The sequence below is a fragment of the Homo sapiens genome, chromosome 4, assembly GCF_000001405.40.
Source record: "Homo sapiens chromosome 4, GRCh38.p14 Primary Assembly".
Classification (NCBI taxonomy): domain Eukaryota; kingdom Metazoa; phylum Chordata; class Mammalia; order Primates; family Hominidae; genus Homo; species Homo sapiens.
Genome location: NC_000004.12, coordinates 174,489,649 through 174,509,521, shown reverse-complemented (window position 1 = coordinate 174,509,521; position 19,873 = coordinate 174,489,649). Strand labels below are relative to the sequence as shown.

The 19,873-nt window shown below is 36.1% G+C and overlaps 1 protein-coding gene across 8 annotated transcripts in view; it reads left to right on the top strand.

Annotated features, from left to right (window-relative positions):
* Positions 1-19,347, top strand: part of HPGD (15-hydroxyprostaglandin dehydrogenase) — a 32,719-nt gene extending 13,372 nt beyond the window's left edge. For 2 of the 8 annotated variants that reach the window (NM_001256307.2, NM_000860.6), the window contains 4 exons: positions 730-826; positions 13,898-13,974; positions 16,208-16,371; positions 17,428-19,347. In NM_001256307.2, the coding sequence (NP_001243236.1) occupies positions 769-826; positions 13,898-13,974; positions 16,208-16,371; positions 17,428-17,566 (438 nt within the window). In that variant the 5' untranslated portion in view covers positions 730-768 and the 3' untranslated portion in view covers positions 17,567-19,347. Of the gene's footprint in view, positions 1-729; positions 827-1,338; positions 2,780-13,897; positions 13,975-16,207; positions 16,372-17,427 lie in introns of those variants that run through there. The other 6 variants (NM_001256301.1, XR_938728.3, NM_001256306.2 and 3 more) reach the window with 6 other exon arrangements.

Genomic DNA, 19,873 nt, shown 5'->3' with positions numbered 1-19,873 from the left:
AAATTTCTCAGCAGCATCCATCCTGTTCCCATCTCTAGCTGATTGCCTCCCAGGTCTCACTGACCAAAACTGGGTCACCTGCTGGCTCTGAAACCAGCCACTGTCAAGGAGAATGGGATTTCCATGACTGAATTAAATTAATTAATCAGTGTCTACATTAAATTTGGGGAGATCACCTTCCTCGTATTATATGGAGAGGAGGTAGATACAGGAGCAAAATAGAACTTTTATTAGAAAGAAAAAAGGAGAAAATAAAACCTCTAGGAAATCAAGAGTAAGCATTATTCTATATTCCAAGATCCAAGAGAATTAAACAGAGTAGTTAAGTGTGGAATACTGAGACATGAGAACCATATGCAGAGAAGAAGGGTAAATAAATTTTGCATCCAACATTTAGAAAACAAAAAGAATATATGGAATTATTGAAGATGTTGAGAATTGAGTGAAAGTAATAGACATTTTTGGAATACAACCTGTAGCATAAAATCTCATATTGGGCAACTAAGTGAAGTTTTGCAGATATATGACAAGCTCCACAATGATTAGGCAAACCCAAAGAATCCAGGTTTAATGACTAACTTTAAAAACAAAGCTCTTTTAAAACCTTTCATTGATAATATTTGCAGAAATCTCCCTAGGTATCTGGAATAGCTATAAAAACTTTGGTGTGTGAAAATATGGGAAAGGATAATGACTGTATTCCTTTTCTCACTTATGCCTCTGGATTAGGTTTCTGTTATCAGTGGAACCTATCTTGGTTTGGATTACATGAGTAAGCAAAATGGAGGTGAAGGCGGCATCATTATCAATATGTCATCTTTAGCAGGTAAGGGCAATTATTACATTAAATGTAACATTTTCTTACTGGTAATTTGGACCACAAAAACAAATCTTCAAAGCATATTTATTATCAGCTCAAGTTGGAAATTAAAAATCTGATCGTTTTATAGTTCCATGGAATTTTCTATTGCAAAATATCAAAAGTTTGAAAAATATGTTTATTTCTCTTAATTTAACTTGTGGCTTTTAAAGTTATCTTACTGCAGTAATATTTGAAAAAATATATATAATTTTTTTTTAGAGCCAATATTTTTCAAAGGTTGTGGTGAGACTCCTAAGCAATAATGCATGTGAAAGCACCTTTGGCAAAGTAAAAAGCACTAAAGTGAAGTTAAGATGTCTCTGCTCCCATGTGATTTTAGTAACAGTGTGTAATTTTAAAATATGGCATATATCATAGTTAAGATATGTTAAACTAATAAATAAAGCCAAACTTACATGTAGTATAAGCACATTCCTTAACTCGTACATCAGTCTGAGGCAAGATCCTTGTTGCAGGTATCTCTTCTGTATGCAGACATTTGAAAACCTGGCTGGCAGAAGTTCTGCCGTCTTCAGCAGGGAGCTCCCAGGGTTACTTTAGAACTGCTGGATTCCTTTTTCTCTAGCAGAAAGAGAAGAAGAACATGGAGGAGGCATGGCTACTCTTTTAAGAACCCCAGCCCAGTAATGGCAGACCTTCTGCTCACATTTCAGTATAGAACTTGAGCTCATGTTTCACCTAACTGTAAGCGAGTCTGTCTGGGAAATGCAGTCTAGCTGTGTGCCTAAGAGAAGAATGGATTTCAGAGGGCAGCTAATCATCTTTTCCACAGCATGCAATCCTAAACTATAGTATTTTCAGAGTAGTATGATTTAGTATCAGCTGATATCTTATCCTTCAATACTAGCCTTAAACCTCTGACTGGACTTTTTGGAGCAACTGAGTCAAGTGACTTTACTTTTTAAAACTCTAGGAAAAAATCATCAATGATTCTTGAATAGTTCAAGTGAAATTGTGAAGTTTAAGAAGTCTGATCAACATGGACAGCAAATCTAAGCTATCTTGTCCAAAAAAGTGAGACTTTAAAAAATTATCTGTTTGGTTTTAGTTAATGTGGTGATTTCAGAATAGAAATTTCAGCCCCACACCCCACCCCAACCTTGGCATCTCAGCTCCAGTGATTTGGGAAGTTGGGTTTGGAGGTACCTGTGATTGAACCTCTGTCTGATTCTCAGCATTTGTCTCATCCCTCTAGGAATGATTATCAAATGGTTCTTTTATATCACTGTAAAGCTGCCACCAGAGGAGATTTAGAAATCTCCTTTAGAAGTTCTCAAAAATAGACTAGCATCTCATTTTCTGGGTCGCTTAAAGTCAAAATCATGTCCCTAAAGCTATTACAAACCTATTTCTATAAATTTTTCAGGGTAATCAGATTCTTTTTCCTAGTGGTACAACTACTTATAAATTATAACATTTTAATCCTAATGATACTTTAAAAGGTGAGCGCACGGGCAATATTTGAAAGGGGTATGTGTTCCAGAGAGGGCCAAATGTTAAGCTGTGGGAGACTGAAACCCTAAAAGCAAATTGGCAAAGCTAAATCTATACTATTTTGAAATAAAATCATAAGAAAAAAACAAGTGACTGGAGAATTAAAAAGAGATATTTAGTATTTTCTTAAAAGTTTAAATATTTAAAAACCTGGGGCTGTGATCAAGATTGATAATTCTCTGTATTCTTTCATAAAGCTAAGAGGGTCAGCAAAGCTTGGAGTACCATGAATATTCTACAAGGAGCCCCTGGCCTTTATGTCACTGGAGGCACTGATTTCATTCTTTGGAAGGCTGAAAGCCTCAGAGTTGGATCAATTTAGGACGATCTGGGAGAAATTCTTTACCATAAGAGGGTGCTTCCTTGCCCCAAAGAGCATGAATAAAGAAATGCAATGTAGAATTACTGCCTTTTATCTGTTTAAAATATTCAAATATATAATATCATTTATTGAGCACTGTTTACCTGATATCATTTTAAACACTGTACATTAACTCATTTAATCCTCACAACAACCCTGTGAGGTAAACTCTATATAATTTCCATTTTGAAAATGAGGAAACTAAGGCAGGAGAAGTGTGAAATATCTTGCCTAAGCTTATACATCAAGTAAGCCTCAGAGCTGGAATTCACATGCAAATAGCCTGGTACAAGTCTTCTTAGAATTTTAACCACTAGATTATTTATCTATCTCTAATATCTATGCATTTATTTGTTAATCTACCTGTATTTATCCCAGCCTAACAGAAAAGTAAAAGCAACTGAAATCGTTTCAATTGAATAAACCCTTGCAATTTGCTAGTCTCTTCAGGCTTCATGGGCACAGCTCTAATCTCATGGCTGCATTACTAAACCTTCAGTGAAATCTTAAGCTTTTGCCCCATTTGATACTTCCAGTAAAGTCCTAAAAATATCTGGGGAGCTTACCAGTGTCACAAGTCAAAACATGCCATTGAGCAGAGCAGTTTAAGGCTTGCAATTTGATGTCCACTTTGCTTTGTTGGCTAGGAGCTTGCTTTGTCATCCCGCTCACCGCCACCTCCCGCCAACCCCAGGTGTTAATCCTCTTTTTACCTATGTCAGATACAACATTTGCAATCATGTGTGGGCATTTCTCTATTCATGCAGATAAAACGATGACTTGATATAAATTCAGTGATAAGATTGCTTTGGTTTTAAATTACTTTCCTGGCACTGGTACAATTTAATGAATAATATTGCATTACAAACTGCTTCTCCCTCTGATTTTCCTCCACATGTACAAGGCAACACTATGTAAAATGGTTAAATAGCTTAAGTTTGTCATTGTTCCCTCTGCTTGGCTTACTACTCTCTCCATTTTCAGAAGTTGTCCTTGGCACCCTCTCTTCGTAATTCCAGCCTCCGCACCTCTTGTGTTTATACTGTTTCCTCGTTGCCACTGGCCAATGTGGACAGTCTACTTCCTTTCCCATCCAGGGCTCCCACTAACATGCCTTCAACTCACAAAGTCTTAAAATGAATTGCCTTGTATTTTATCCACCAACGGAGAGCCTCCAATTCTTCCCATAATGAAATTAGTTTGATAAAAATTCAGGATATTGTAATAATGGGAGAAGGCAAAAGAGGACCCCTCCGTCTTCATCATTCCCTCAGAAATGGTATCAACAATTTTATGCCCTTGAGTCATAGCATGTAGGAAGAGGTGAGAGCACAAAAATAATCTTTAAGGAGTTAACAGAGTACTTCTAATATTTGCCTACTCTGTGTTTTCCAAACCTTGCTTCCTCACAGATTTTTTTTTCCTGTTTTTCTCTGTACTGCTTACTCTATTGAAGGAATGGCTGTGGGTAATATTCAGTATTCAACTCAACAGGGCCTATCCTCATGATCTCTAGCGTGGATACAGTGGAGTCCTTCACTGTCACAGTAAAACCTTAAGTTGGCACACTGGTTTGAGTAGAGAAGTTAATGAGTAATGACCACTGACGCAGACAGAGTATCAAATGCAATTAATAGGTTTAATAAACAGGAGTAGTTAAGTAGACAATGATTCCTCAGCAGATTATGGGATGGGTATGCTCTAGTCTGGAGTTCCACAAGTTGTTCTGAGTGTGGTTAACCCACATGGACTTTTCTACACGAGTTTTTATTTATAAACATAATATACAAACAGACACTAATTTTGCCACATCCATCCTGAACTATTAAAACAAAGTTGGAAGGAACAATAGAAGAACGAAGTCTGGTTTAATGCAGATAATCAAACAGCTATGCTCCATTAAAACATCTCATGAGTCAAATGCACTCCGTTTGTTTGTTTGTTTGTTTGTTTGTTTGTTTGTTTGTTTTGAGACAGAGTTTCACTCGTGTCACCCAGGCTGGAGTGCAATGGCGCGATCTCGGCTCACTACAACCAACACCTCTCAGGTTAAAGCAATTCTCCTGCCTCAGCCTCCCCAGTAGCTGGGATTACAGGTGCACACCACCACGTCTGGCTTTTTTTTTTTTTGTATTTTTAGTAGAAACGGGATTTCATCATGCTAGCCAGGCTGGTATCGAACTCCTGACCTCAGGTGATCTGCCTGCCTCAGCCTCCCGAAGTGCTGGGATTACAGGCGCAGTTCTTAAGTATTTAATTGCTTCAGATTGTGGGAAAGGAAAAGTTATTGTCACAGGAAAAGGAGCCTACCTACCAACCCTGCTACATATTCAGTTAGTGAGGCTGTGGTGTTCACTAGGGACATGCTCTGTCACTCAGTAGCATTTTGTGAGAGATACCATGAGGGTCTTATTTACTCAGAAGTCAAAACATTGGAGTCTCCAGAAAATATTTAAAAATCATACAAAATTTTCAGCATGTCTTAAGTAACAACCCAGTGGCATATCTGCTTGTGCTATAAGTTTTATCTATAATAATATAATTAGCTCATAATTTGTGTTAAGGTAGAAGTGCTAAAATTACTACCTTAAATAAAAATTTCAACTTAATCAAACATATGTTGAGCATTTGCAGAAGGGAAATGGAGATATTAAAGTAACTAGGCAAAGTTTCTACCCCAAGAGCTGTATATCAGTGTCTCTTATCAAGATGACAGAACCAAATAATTTCCATGACATAAACTGTTTAAACAGAAGCATTGGCCAGGTGTCATGGCTCACACCTATAATCACAATGCTTTGGGAGGCCAAGGCAGGAGGATCACTTGAGGCCAGGAGTTAGAGACCAGCATGGGCAACAGAATGAGACCTCATCTGTATAAAAATTTTTAAAAATTAGCTGGGTGTGATGGTGCACACCTGTGTTCCTAGCTACTCAGGAGGCTGAGGTGGGAGGATTTCTTCAGCCTAGGAGTTCAAAGCTGCAGTGAGCTATGATTGCACTACTGCACTCCAGCCTGGGCAATATAGTGAGACCTTGTCTCTCAAAAGAAAAAAAAAAAAAATCAAAAAACCCAGAAGCATGATATTTAAGTTGCAAGGCCTTGGGACTCCAATAGCCGAAGAATGGACTAGAATATCCAGAAATTCCAGGTGAAATAAAACATTGATCATCTTCTTCTATCTCTGGGCCAAAGGTAAGAAAATCGCATGGCACCACCCTCTACTACTGCTCTCGTGATAAGGAAGCAGGCCTAACACATATTGAGCAATTGCCAAGCTCCAGGCATTGTGGTAAACTATTGGCTTTATGACATCCACATCTAACTTTTACAAGTCTCTACAATAGAGGTCAATTTAATTATCTCCAATTTATAGTTGAACAATGAATCTCAAACAGATCTTGAAGAATGTGGGAATTAGCAGTGGTAATAAAAGCAATTTTATTTTGCTCCATTTTAGCCTGTGTCATAGAGTGGATGTACTGTTCCTATGCTGTGATTCATAAGTGCTCAGATGCCAACTGCCATGAGTATGGGAGCCACCCTTCCTGCTTAGTGCTGGCAAAGTTCTCCCAAATGGACTCTGCAGAGTCCATTTTGCTCTCTTTTGGCTTAAAATAGTTTAAAAGACACATAGTAGAAGTAATCAGTAGGAATGATTAAATATTTGTAAATGAGGCATTTTGAAGGATAGATGAGAGATTCGAGGTTTCTTAACATAGGAATGAGAGGGCTACTGAGAAACGAATAGTCTTCTAGAACAGTGCTTCTCAGATTTAATATGTCTAGGGACTTTGTCAGATGCAGATTCTGATTTCGATAGGACAGAGATGGCTCCTGAAATTGTGCTCCCAGGTGATACCGCTCCTTGAACCACACTTTAAGAAGCCAGCCACTAGTATGCATAGGGATGGATATTCTTTGAATGGGTAAGGGAGCTTCTGTCAGTTTCCTCTGACCACAGCCTAGGCAATGACTGAACACTAGTAGCAACTGTCTGAGTCACTAGAAATTGCTATTAAACATATCTTTCTGGGAAGATTTTTGTTATAGAATATATAGTGGTTTTATGAAAGCATGTGTCACTTTTTTTTTTTTTTTTTTTGAGACGGAGTCTCGCTCTGTCGCCCAGGCTGGAGTGCGGTGGCGCAATCTCGGCTCACTGCAAGCTCCGCCTTTCGGGTTCACGCCATTCTCCTGCCTCAGCCTCCTGAGTAGCTGAGACTACAGGCGCCCGCCACCACGCCTGGCTAATTTTTTGTATTTTTAGTAGAGACGGGGTTTCACCGTGTTAGCCAGGATGGTCACCATCTCCTGACCTCGTGATCCGCCCACCTCGGCCTCCCAAAGTGCTGGGATTACAGGCGTCAGCCACCGCGCCCGGCCGCATGTGTCACTTTTTAATGTCGTGTCACACTCTAAAGCATAACTTAATGGCACCCATAAGAATGAGAAAAAAAACAGCCATCAGATAAGGTGTTCCATTATGCGGAAAATCACAAATGAGGAAGTTCACCAGTTACTTTGGTCAGGTGTATGCACGAATCGTAGATAAATATTTCTTGCTAGTTCTCCCTTTTTTCTTCAAGTTGGAGAAGTGGTGGTTAAAACAGACAGACGGGTACACATTTTTTTGTTGTTGTTGGTTGTAAAGAAAATGTGACAGCTTTAGATTCCTGCTTTTTTAGCGTAGTTACAGAACTCCAGGTTATCATACGAGTATCAGCATCCTTAGATTCACCATTTATTTCCCTAAGTTGAATTTTCAGCATTTTTATATAGTCCATTCTACATGGTTTCTCTCTCCTTAAAAGCAAATCTTGTTTGCGGATTTAGTATGACTGCCCTGTCTGAGGAGGTTTCTGTTTTTGCAAAAAAATCTTTTTGAGCTTTTTTACCTTCTGTGAAATGATTAAAACTGGCTTTTGTAAATATGGGTAGAAAGATTATGAAGAATAGAAGAACTAATGTAGAGATGGAATTTACATTTTTTTTTCTGAATGACTTTCTTTGTTCTATTAGTACACATGTAATTTTCAGATATTTTAAATGCTTTCAGGTATTTTAAGTGCTATATATATTATTTCGTCAGTCTAATTGTTTAGTGTTATTATCCTGAGTGGTTTTAGAAAATATTTCTTTGTTTTGTGGGTAGAATTTCTCCCTCTACTGATTTTTTTTTCTGTAACTTTACAGTTGTGACAGACATAAATCTGCTACTAATTATACTTGGTATATTTTAAAAAGAGCCATTGTGTATTTCTATAAATAAACTTGCACAATGGTGGGCCTATCAGAGGTACTGAAAAATACTGTTCTTAACTATTTTAATATAAGGTATCTATTTTTAAGCACACAGGATTTCTCACAATGTTAAACAAAATGCCATTTCTTTAAAAGCAGAGACTGCTCTCACATGGTCACAATCCTTTGTTTTATTGTTGTTGCTATTCTTAAATCCCTTAATGTTGTGACAGAATATTTCCATGTGCTCCCTAATTTTGAGAATTAATTTGCAAGATTAAAAAAAACCCATATTAGTTATAGTAACTGGTCCTATAGTCATTATACTGGTATCTGGCTCTTCAACCGGTAAAATTCCACCTTCGTCCTGCAACAGGGGTCCTCCCATTGGTTTTACACACTTCAATTGAGTATATTTAAAATATTACTTCATTATACTTTGCATTTAAAAGGAACTAAACACATAGTTCTTATGTGAATTTACTTCTGTAGAGCCTGTTGATTTAAGATTAGAAACAGTCCAGTTTGCCAAGGTTCAGAAATCAAACCAAGTTAGGACACTATACCAGATTTGTGGCATTTTAGTGCAAAAGATACATTTTCATTAAAAAGTACAATGTGGATGAACCGATAAATAGGTCAATAAAATAATTATTTGAGGTTTCATCTGGTTTACTCTTGATGTTGTACAATCTGTAGGCTTGAACAAAGGTATAATAACATATATCTACCACTATAATATCAAACAGAGTGGTTTACTACCCTAAAAACCCTGTTCTCCACCTGTTCATCCCTTCCTCCCACCACCTCCTGGTAACCACTGATCTTTCAACTGTCTCCATAGTTTTGCCTTTTCCAGATGTCATATAGTTGGAATCATACAGTATGTAGCCTTTTCAGGTTGGCTTCTTTCACTTAGTAATATGCATTTACGTTTCCTCCATATCTTTTCATGGCTTGATAGCCCTTTGTTAGAGTTGAATATTATTCCATTATCTGAATATACCACAGTTTATTTGTTCATTCAACTACTAAAGGACACTAGGTTGCTTCCAAGTTTTGGCAATTAATAAAGCTGCTATAAGCATCCACACACAGATTTTTGTGCAAGCATGTTTTCAGTTCTTTGAGTAAATGCCAAGGAACTAAATGTTGGATTGTATTGCATGTTTACTTTTGAAAGAAATTGCTAAATTGTCTTCCAAAGTGGCTGTGCCATTTTGCATTCGCACCAGCAATGAATTGGAGTTCTTGTTTCTTGACATATTCATCAGTATTTGGTGTCTTCAGCATTTAAATTTTAGCCATTCTAATGTGTGTAGTAGAATCTCATTGTTGTTTTAATTTGAAATTTCCTATAACATCTGATATTTATCATATTTTCTTTTTCGTTTGTTGTTTGAGACAGAGTCTCACTGTGTTGCCCAGGCTGAGCACCCACTATAGTTTAAGGAGAGAAAACTGCTAGGAAATATTACAAGAAGTAACCCAAGGCTCCCTCTCTAGAGTTCAAGGCAGAGTAAGAGGTCTTGGCTTGAGATAAGTATTTTAAATTTGAGTGTGTGTGTGTGTGTGTGTCATACAAAGATTGAGAGAGACAAATTGAGAGAATTAATTTTTATCCTCAGGAGTGAATAAAATCATGTAGGGAAAGAGTGTTCATAGAAAAGCAAAGAGGACCAGGTATATCTCTGGAGTTTTCCAGCATGTTTATGGGTCTAGTCAAGGAAGAGGAGCCAGCCAAAGACATGAAGAAGAAGCTGCCAGTGAATGTGAGATAGGAGACCAGCCTGGAGGAGGAAATGTTTCAAGGAAAGCATGGCTGTGCTAGTTGCTGCTGAGGAAGGGATCAAGGAAAATGAGACAGAGATTTAGCCTTAGCAAACCATTGCTCATTGGCAGCCTCCATAAGATCTGTTTGACTGGAGTGATCAGATGAAAGCCTGATGGGAATGAGTTGTAGAGCAAATAGGAGGTCAAGAAAGTGGAGACAATGCAAGGCATATAATAACTCTTCTGAGGACTTTCCATTGAAAAGAGAAACAAGGTGGTAGCTGGAGAAAAAATAAGTATTATTTTTAGATGGGTAATAACTGAGATATGTTTATATCTCAGAGTGATTCTGTTTCTGCAGTTGATATCAGTGACCATTTTAAGTCTCTTAAAATACTTTCATCCGTAATTTCTGTTACACAACACTTAATTGCTTCTCTTCCTACCTGGGCTGGTTTATTCTGTCCTTTTGCTCAGTCACCTACTCTCCAAGAGATGACTACCATGTATAGTTGTGCAGGTTGTAAATGGTAGGAACATAAGCGGCACAGTTTACACCAACTACCTTGTAAATTGTGTCTCCAGAGTCATACCGTGCACACTTAGTCTAACTCTATGAGCTGACCCTTATTACCAGCCCCAGAACACAATTTTTATTTGAAGCACATGGAAACAAATTCTATGTTGGTGTTGTGGGCCTACAGTAAGTAGTGGAAGCGTGGTTAACCAATCCTGAAGCTACACCACAGTAGCAATAATACTATACCTACAGAAGAAAAATGAATCAGATGCAGTAGAAAATGTTGGATTCCTAAAAAATGTCCACCCCCAACTAAAATCATTGTCAAAAATAATAAAACAACAAGAGCTTTTCTCCCTCCATTTAGGCTTCATTTTCAAAGCAACAAACTGAAGTATAGGTAGTAAATTTCTACATTGAGAGTCAGTTTGCAAGTTGGAGAGAAAGCACTGCAAATCCACCCTGCCTGTTCAAAACATAAGAAGCACCAGTTAAAATCTACCTATATTAGGGAAAAAAAGAAAAAAAAACTTCAATTAACAACTTGACTAAATGAAACAATTGAAAAAAATAGAATGTTCCTTACACATTACAACATGGATGAATCTCAAAACAGCTATCCTGAGTGAAAAGTCAGACAACAATATAATTTATACTATATGATTACATTATATAAATTTTAGAAAATGCAAAGTATAGTAACACAAAGCAGATCAGTGGTTGCCTGTGGGGAGGAGAGGGGCAGCAGAAAGGGATTACCAAGGGGCACAAGGAAACTTTTAGGGTGATGGACATGTTCATTATCTTGACTGGTCATGGTTTCATTGGTATATACATATGTCAAAACTTATCAAACTGTATACTTTCAATACGTGCAGTTTTATTGTATGTCAATTAGATCTCCATGAAGCTGTAAAAAAAAAATGAAAAAAGGAAACTTGGTTTCTGAATGTCTGAAATTGATTTGTGTAGGTTTTCATCTAATACTAAAAAGTGAGGGGCCAGTGCTGTGGCTCAGGCCTGTAATCCCAGCACTTTGGGAGGCCAAGGCAGGTGCATTGCTTGAGCTCAGTAGTTCAAGATCAGCTAGGCAACATGGTGAAATCCTATCTCTACCAAACATACAAAAATTAGCTGGGCGTGGTGGCTAATGCCTGCAGTCCCAGCTACTCAGGAGGCTGAGATGGGAGGATTGCTTGAGCCAAGTAGGTCAAGGCTTCAGTAAGCCATGGTCCTGCCACTGCACTCCAGCCTGGGCAATAGAGCTAGACTCTGTCTCAAAAGAGAGAGAAGGGGGCAGAAAGGAAGGGAGGGAAGGTATGGGGCGGGGGGAAGAGAGAGAGAGAGAGAAAGAGAGAGAGAGAAAGTGAGGCCGGCCATGGTGGCTCATGCCTGTAATCCCAGCACTTTGGGAGGCCAAGGCAGGTGGATCATGAGGTCAGGAAATCAAGACCATCCTGGCCAACATGGTGAAACCCCATCTCTACTAAAAATACAAAAATTAGCTGGGCACCGTGGCGCATACCTGTAGTTCCAGCTACTTGGGAGGCTGAGGCAGGAGAATCCCTTGAATCCAGGAGGCAGAAGTTGAAGTGAACAGAGATCAGGCCACTGCACTCCAGTCTGTTGATAGAGCGAGACTCTGTCTCAAAAAAAAAAAAAAAAAAAAAAAAAAAAGAAAGAAAAAGAAAGAAAAGAAAGTGAAAGCAATGCAAGGGTAAACATTTTGCAGAATAGCAGTGAAAATGTGATTAGAATGTTACAAGATTCATAAAACCAACTGCCATTTAAAAACTGCAAGCAATTTCTTTCACATTCCAGTTGCATTTACGAATCCACCTTTAAGGAAAGTATGTATGTTGTCTTTGCTTATTACCAGAACCCACAAAGCAGTATATTTCTTTCGCCTCTATGACACCTTGAACTAGCTGGGGTTCCAAAGTTCATCATCTCTGCATATGTAACAAAAATTCATTTCAAATTCATCTTTGACAACTCTTATGAACAATGTCTTTGTAGTTCTTGCGGCTGTGTGAACTAGTTTATCTCTGATTAAGGTTCATGCTGCATTTCCTGCTATATATGAACATTGTCCTGAAACCACTGCCTTTGTCTCATAAACATTTAAGGAATGGGTAAAGCAGGGACTAACAAGAACCAGAAGCAGCAACTCCTGGTTATACTTTTTTATTCCCTTTATCTTCCACTCCTAGTATACCTATGTAGCCTGTGGAAACATCATAAATTCTTGTTGACTGACACTGACAAACTTAATTAACTTACACATTTTACTTAACAACAACAATGACAACAAGAGAAGCAACATATTAACAATACTTTGAAATCATTGGGTGGACACACTAGGTGTGATCTACCATCCTCAGGGATTTAAACTGCCCTTGTGCAAACATACTTTATAAATTGAAACCTGGCAGGCACCCAGGGAGTGGTTATGGTCTGCATTTATTGCTGAACTTTGGCCCAACACCCTCAAATGATTGGTGGCATTCTGGGAATAGTTAGCTGGGTGGAGATGAGCATGTCTCAGCAGAATAATTTGGTATTATTAGCATGACATTTGATATTAAATATAGTATAATAATCAGGGATCACTGTTACTTGACTCAGAGAAGTCACAAACTTAAAAAGCATTAAAACAAGTTAATCCAAATTAGTCAAAAACAAATACAAGAATGACTCTGGTTCAATTTGATTGCTGATTAGATAATTAACAATTTTGAGAAATAAGCTTGATAATAATAGTTACTAGAGTAAAATAGGTTTTTATTGTTGTTGTTTTGTGTCTTTTCGGAGAGCTGAGCTAGGCTGGAGTTGGGGGAGAAGAGATGCTATAGGTATATGCTATACTGTTTTTTCTCTCCAGACCATGAATTTAATCAGTTACTGTTGTGCATATGTGGAAAATTACAAAATAAAACATTCTGTAATTGATTGAATTTCATAGTTGACTACATAATTATGAAAGGAAATAAAATAGGACCACAAATGTTTATTTCTATCTTCCTAAGTCATAGGACAAAAAGATCTAGGCATCTACAATAGATCAAATAAAAAGAAGAAGTTAACTTTTAATTTTCTTAAACTTTTGGAGGCATTGTTCAAGACAGATTGGTGACAGGAAATTGCATACTAATTTGTAGTGAAGACTAATAATCTCCAAGACTCTCTGAAGATTCAAATTCCTTCAGCCATTAGGAAGCTTTAAAAATGTAGAATATATACTTTTTAAAATCCAGACTTAAAAATGGAAACTTAGGTGGTAATTTACTGACTTTAAAGATGATTTTCTTTGTGTTTTAGATACCATTTACTTTCCTTGACTTTCCAGAAGGCCTGGGGAGGCAGAAAAACACATATAACTCTTGGCTGTATCTCTGTGTAACTTAGCTACTATAAATTCTGGACGACACGGGTCATGGAGCAAATAAACTACACTTAGGCTACTGAGTTTCACAAAGCTATCTGGTTTTATGTTACTGTGTTATTCAGATTCATCTTAAATTGAAATTATCACAAAATATTCATTTGCATTTTCATTACTGGGTATAGTCTACTTATTTTTTCATCAAAGCATTTAAATGTTATATTTGTCTGTTTCAGGACTCATGCCCGTTGCACAGCAGCCGGTTTATTGTGCTTCAAAGCATGGCATAGTTGGATTCACACGCTCAGCAGCGGTGAGGCTACAACAACCGTCATATCTCATTTTCTCTTTGTACACATTTATAAAACATGAATTCTGTAGAGAGGAATCACTTGAGAAATCACTTGGATGAAAGGTGGAAAAATGACATACCTCCATCTCAATTATAAAAAGTTATCAGATCACATAAAGAACCAAATAAATAATAGATCATTTTTAAATGAAGTGGATTCTAAATACAGATGTGTTATTTAAAAAAAATGTATTAAGGATAAGTAATGGGGAGATAGTACTTATTTCCAAAAATGACCCCAAATGGAAATATTATTAACTTCAGCTTTTCTGAAATGCAAGATGCAATAGGCCCCAGCCATTATTTGTCACCAGAGATACGATGAAAAGGAGTGAGAACATGGAGCTGGAAGGAGGGGTGGGGCCAGGCATTTACTTGATAGAGTGGTCAAGGATAATGTCTCCATGGAGGCCTAGGGTGAAAGGTGCACAGACCTTAGAAAAATACTTTAGACCTAATTGATCACATGCATTGACAGCATGAGGTGAGAATGCCTGCCTTTTTATAACTCACAAAAGAGACGCTTGAAAGGGGCCTGGCAAGCAAAGGGAATGTAGTTTGAGGTATGACTCAAGACACCAGCACAGGAGCTAGACCAAAAGCAGCTATGGGCCACTGTTGTGAGCTTGGATTTTATTTCAAGGGCAACCATCCATGGGGCTTTTACACGCAGGAGTGATAAGATCAGATTTCCTTTTTAAGAAGACCATTCTGTCTGCTTTTGCAAATTGTGTTACAAAAGACAAGTGTAAAAGCGGAAAGAACAGTTGTAGGGGGTCTCTGGGTGGTTCATCTAGGTGAGACAAAGAGAGCAGCTAGAGAGATGAAGAGAAAAATATTAGTAATCAAAGAATTAGTAGGAGACAGAAAAAACAGATGCACAAATGTTAACTGTTCAGTCAAAATGGAAGATAAGTAGTTCTCACACTCTTAAATTGATTGGAAATTATTGCTTAATTTGCAAAGACATAATCTTCAGACAGACTTCTTATAAACACATAAAGCTCTCTTACAAAGCAAAGTAAACCTGAAAGACCAGAAATTTTATATTTAAAATTACAAGACTGGAAACTTCTACAGTCAATTCTCAGTATGCATGGTGGTTATGTTCCATGAAGTCACTTACAAACACTACATTAGTGACTACTGAACCATTGCTTTTAGGGGAAATAGAGGGTTAAGTTCCTGAAAGCCTCTGGTCACAAAACTCCAATCAACCAGTCAATACATAACCTTATTTTATGTGTATTCCTGTTTAAAGAACCTTATTTATCATAGGTTGTATGAACATTGAACTCATTACTAAAGCACTTATTACTCATGCCTGATCAAAATTTATCTAACACAAATATTTTCTGTACAGGACATCAGTCTTCTTACACTAAGGAACACTACACAGCACTTCTGCAGTGGGTTTGGCAGCCATTTTAAACAGCAGAATCACCAATAAAAAAGCACAAAATTAGAAAAACATGGCACGACAGAGTATAGTCTTACTTGACCTCAGCAGGAACATGCACATCGGTGACTCAAATTTCTCACTGCCCTGTGCATGTCCACAAATAACTACAAATGCTCCACAAGTATTGATTTCCAGGGTTACAAGTAAATTTTAGCAAGCAAATTTAACAAATTTGTTTATATGTAATCCATGAATAATGAGAATTGACTAATTTTTTAATAATTGCAAATAAAATCAATAGTTTGTAAATTAAGCCAAATAATGTTAGTCTGAAAATACTTAAATTGTCTTCCAGATAGGACAGATTATTAAGAGTGTCTTTAGAATCAAAGTTCTAAACATTTTCACTAAAAGTCTTTTTAATTAAGTATTATTTGTTATACAACCACCATATTTGAAATAACACTTGGGATATCGATTCTAAGTCTCAGCTACTTAGCTTCAGGCTCCTGCAGAGTTCAGTAGATAAGAGAAGCTTACATAATTGTTTCCAGGAGTTGTCCAGTAATACTGATTTTTAAAAAAAATTAATTAGGTGAGATTTTCAGGAATTAATACAATACTTTATGTATGTGTTATTTTACTATCTATTTACCAGTCATTGTTACATAGCTGGGAGGATATCTAATTAGTATTTTTTACATCAGAAAATTGTAAGATGCTTTAATGATCAGTTTGTCCTGTGCTATATGTTTATGAAACTGCTGAAACCTACAACCTTCTAATTGGCAGTTGGCTGCTAATCTTATGAACAGTGGTGTGAGACTGAATGCCATTTGTCCAGGCTTTGTTAACACAGCCATCCTTGAATCAATTGAAAAAGAAGAAAACATGGGACAATATATAGAATATAAGGATCATATCAAGGATATGATTAAATACTATGGAATTTTGGAGTAAGTAAAACTATGTCTATTTTCTTTTAAATGATGAAGCAAAGCATTATTTAGATAAGCTATAAAAAGGGAAGAAATAAGCTTATACAGTTGAGAAATGAACACAAGCTTCAAACTTTTGGTTTGGCAAACTCTCTGGGAGAAAATATATTTTTCTGGGTTTATAAATAGAATGTAAGTTTATACATTATGAATGTTACTTTGAAATATGTAAAATGCTTCATTACTACCATCAGTCATAAAGTTGATATTTAGTCACCTTTGAAGGCAATGATACCTTCTCTGCCTAAATTCCAAGCAATATTCAAATATAGTCTGTGAAATATTGCAAGTTTCCATGACTTCAACCACTTTTATAAGAAATAGTTGATACACACACATACATGGACACATACTTTCTCAGTGAATTATGTCTGAATTCAAGCAACTGAGGATTTCATGAATCATAGTTATCATGTTGAAGGAATCAGACCTGAGATCAAATCTTGGCTCTACCACTAACCATGAACTTACCCATCATACCTCTAGATGCTTCAATTTTCTCACATATAAAATAGAGATAATACAACAGACTTAGGGACTTTGAAAAACTTAAATAAAATGATACATACAAGGTACTTAAAATGGTAACTGGTAAAAAATAAAATTTTCAGTAAATGCTAGCTGTTACCAATCATATTTCTACACTAATAACATCTATATCTGGTAAGTCTAAGATCTACTGATACGATAAAGATGAGAAAATGATCATTTGCTCAGTGAAAATAATGAGTATAAATTCCTCCTGCCAAAATGATGGAAGGTTACAGCTAAATTTATCAAATAATTTAGTTAATATCCAATTGAAAGAAATCTAATTGAATAAATTAGATAAATAAGATATCTAATCTAGATATCTAATATGGAATTAAATAAAAATTGGAAGTAGCAATAGTTTAATGACACACATTTCCCTATAACATGTTCAACTTAATAGATTCTTCAGAAAATAACTTAAAATGAAGTGGTAATATGCCTCATTCTTTCGTTTCAAAATACTGTTTTCTTTATTTTTAGCCCACCATTGATTGCCAATGGATTGATAACACTCATTGAAGATGATGCTTTAAATGGTGCTATTATGAAGATCACAACTTCTAAGGGAATTCATTTTCAAGACTATGATACAACTCCATTTCAAGCAAAAACCCAATGAACAGCTTATGTGTTAGCCATAGCTGAAAATAAGCACAAATAGCTTATATTCAGATCCTATCTTCATTTGAATATAGCTTTTAAATGAAATGTTACAGTTTGAAGTTTTCCTTCATGCACTTGGTGATAAACGTTTTCTAAATTTTTAGTTAAGTATATGGATAAAAAGTTATGAACTATTAAAAATGTGATGTGGACCAAAGGCTAGGTTGTAATCTTGATAGTCTAAAAAATGATCAAAACAAATGATTTTCAAGGAATATTCAATATTCTGCCTTTCAGAAAGTGTATTTATATCTGTGCTTCATAAATATTAATGTTCTTCAGAACATCATTTTAAAGGAGATACTTGAATTGTTATTTAAATCAAACCAGATGTAAAACACTCACATACAAGTTCATACTTTAAAAGAGGAAAGCTACTTAACAATGACAAATATTTCACAATAATAATTTTTACTTATATACCATCTTTCAACTGAACATTTCAGTTCTTCCAAGAGCTTCTTAGAGTAGTATATTTTGGGGGCAGTCAAGGAATAAACTACAGTGTAAACATATCCCAGATGAAAACTGCTGTATGGAAAAATGACAGAAAGTAACTGATTGACACTGTTGATTCACAGTTCAGCCTCCTATCTGGGAAAGACATTTCTTTCCTCTGCTCACTTTAAGAACTTTTACCGACTCCAAAAATCTCAGGAATTAAACTTTTAACAGTTACAGCAATAAAGAATAGTTAGTACTCCAAAAATATTATATTTAAGATGCTCAACAAGAAAAAAATGCAAATGTAATATTTTTTTCAAATTACTTCTTTATTGACTTGTCCAAATTTCAAAAGTGCCTACCCTTCAATAAAACTTTTTTATTCTGATCTCCATAAATTACTTAGTCTTCTATGTATAGCTATCAAGGAAATAAAACCAATTTTGCCACAGCCACAACTGTAAATGTTTTTGTACCCATGCTGAAACTCATAACAACACAGACATAAAAATAGCTGTGAGGTTTTGCTTTTTTTGTTGTCAGCTATCTTAAGAATCATTAAATACACCTGCTTTGGGTAAAACTCTTTGCAAGCAGTAATTAACACTAGTAACAGTGAAAGCACAAGATTTCCAAATCAGTCGTTTTCTCAAAAAAATATCGTATAAGTGACTCATCCTGTCTGCTAACTCCAGACCTCCCAGCTTGAAGCCAAATCTTTCCATGTGAGATTGATATGGATTTCCTAGAAGTACTGGAATGTTGTCATATCTTGCCCTATTTTAATTCTGCTATAGAAAACAATTGCCTTCACTTTTAAGGAGTAATTTGAATATTAATAACTCTGGTCTAGATTTTCATATAATGTATTAAAGACAAAGTAGTGAACATCAATGAACATCTGATAGAGATAAACTGTAATCAGGCATAAGCTTGTTTGTATGTTCTGGCAGTGACTAATCAGTAAATGATGTCGGTTTGCCCAGTATCACTTATCTTCTGTATTTTTCCTCTGTCGTGTAAATAGTATAACCTTTTCATTTATGGACAATTTTTTGGACTAGTAGCCTTCAATATACATTCTGCTTTGAATTAATTTTTTCAAATCAATAAATTATGTAGACATTTAAAATCAAATATCAAGTAGAATTGAAAAATGTGAGTTACATAAGTTAAAAACTTACTTTAAATCTTACCTTCTATAGGTAGCTCTAAATAAATTCATATGGTTATATGGCATCTCTGGTGTATACTGATTGAGAAAATAATTAAACTGAAGTTAGGGGAGGGGGACCTTGGTTTCTTGTATTTTTCAGTGAATATCCTAATGTAAATGGTATATATATTTTTCCAATGTGTTTTTCTTAGTAAAATGAAGTTGGTACTTCTCAGAACAGCAACACTAGAAATACGTAGACATTGAGAAAAAGATCAAGACTTGATAATGCATTGAAATGTCCTACAAATTTTATTTTCTCATGTAAAAATGAATTTAGACACTTGTAATATCATTTAACATTCAAGTGATTATATGACAATTTCTCCTTACTTTTGCTCTCTATAAATTTAGCATACTGAAGAGATCTGAGAATGCAAATTTTGAAAAAAATTCAAGGTATTTCACATACTAAACATCATCAGATGGTTTTTCTTAAATTAGAATTTCAAAAGGGAAATTTACTGGTGCATAGGAAAAGGTGATTGGATCCAGGGTCACAGTTGCTGCCATAAGGTCTCCATCTCCTTTTCTCTTGTTAGCGTCCCTTCTAGGCAGCTCTTTCACATGATCACTTCCCGGATCTACAGGCCTGATTCCCAG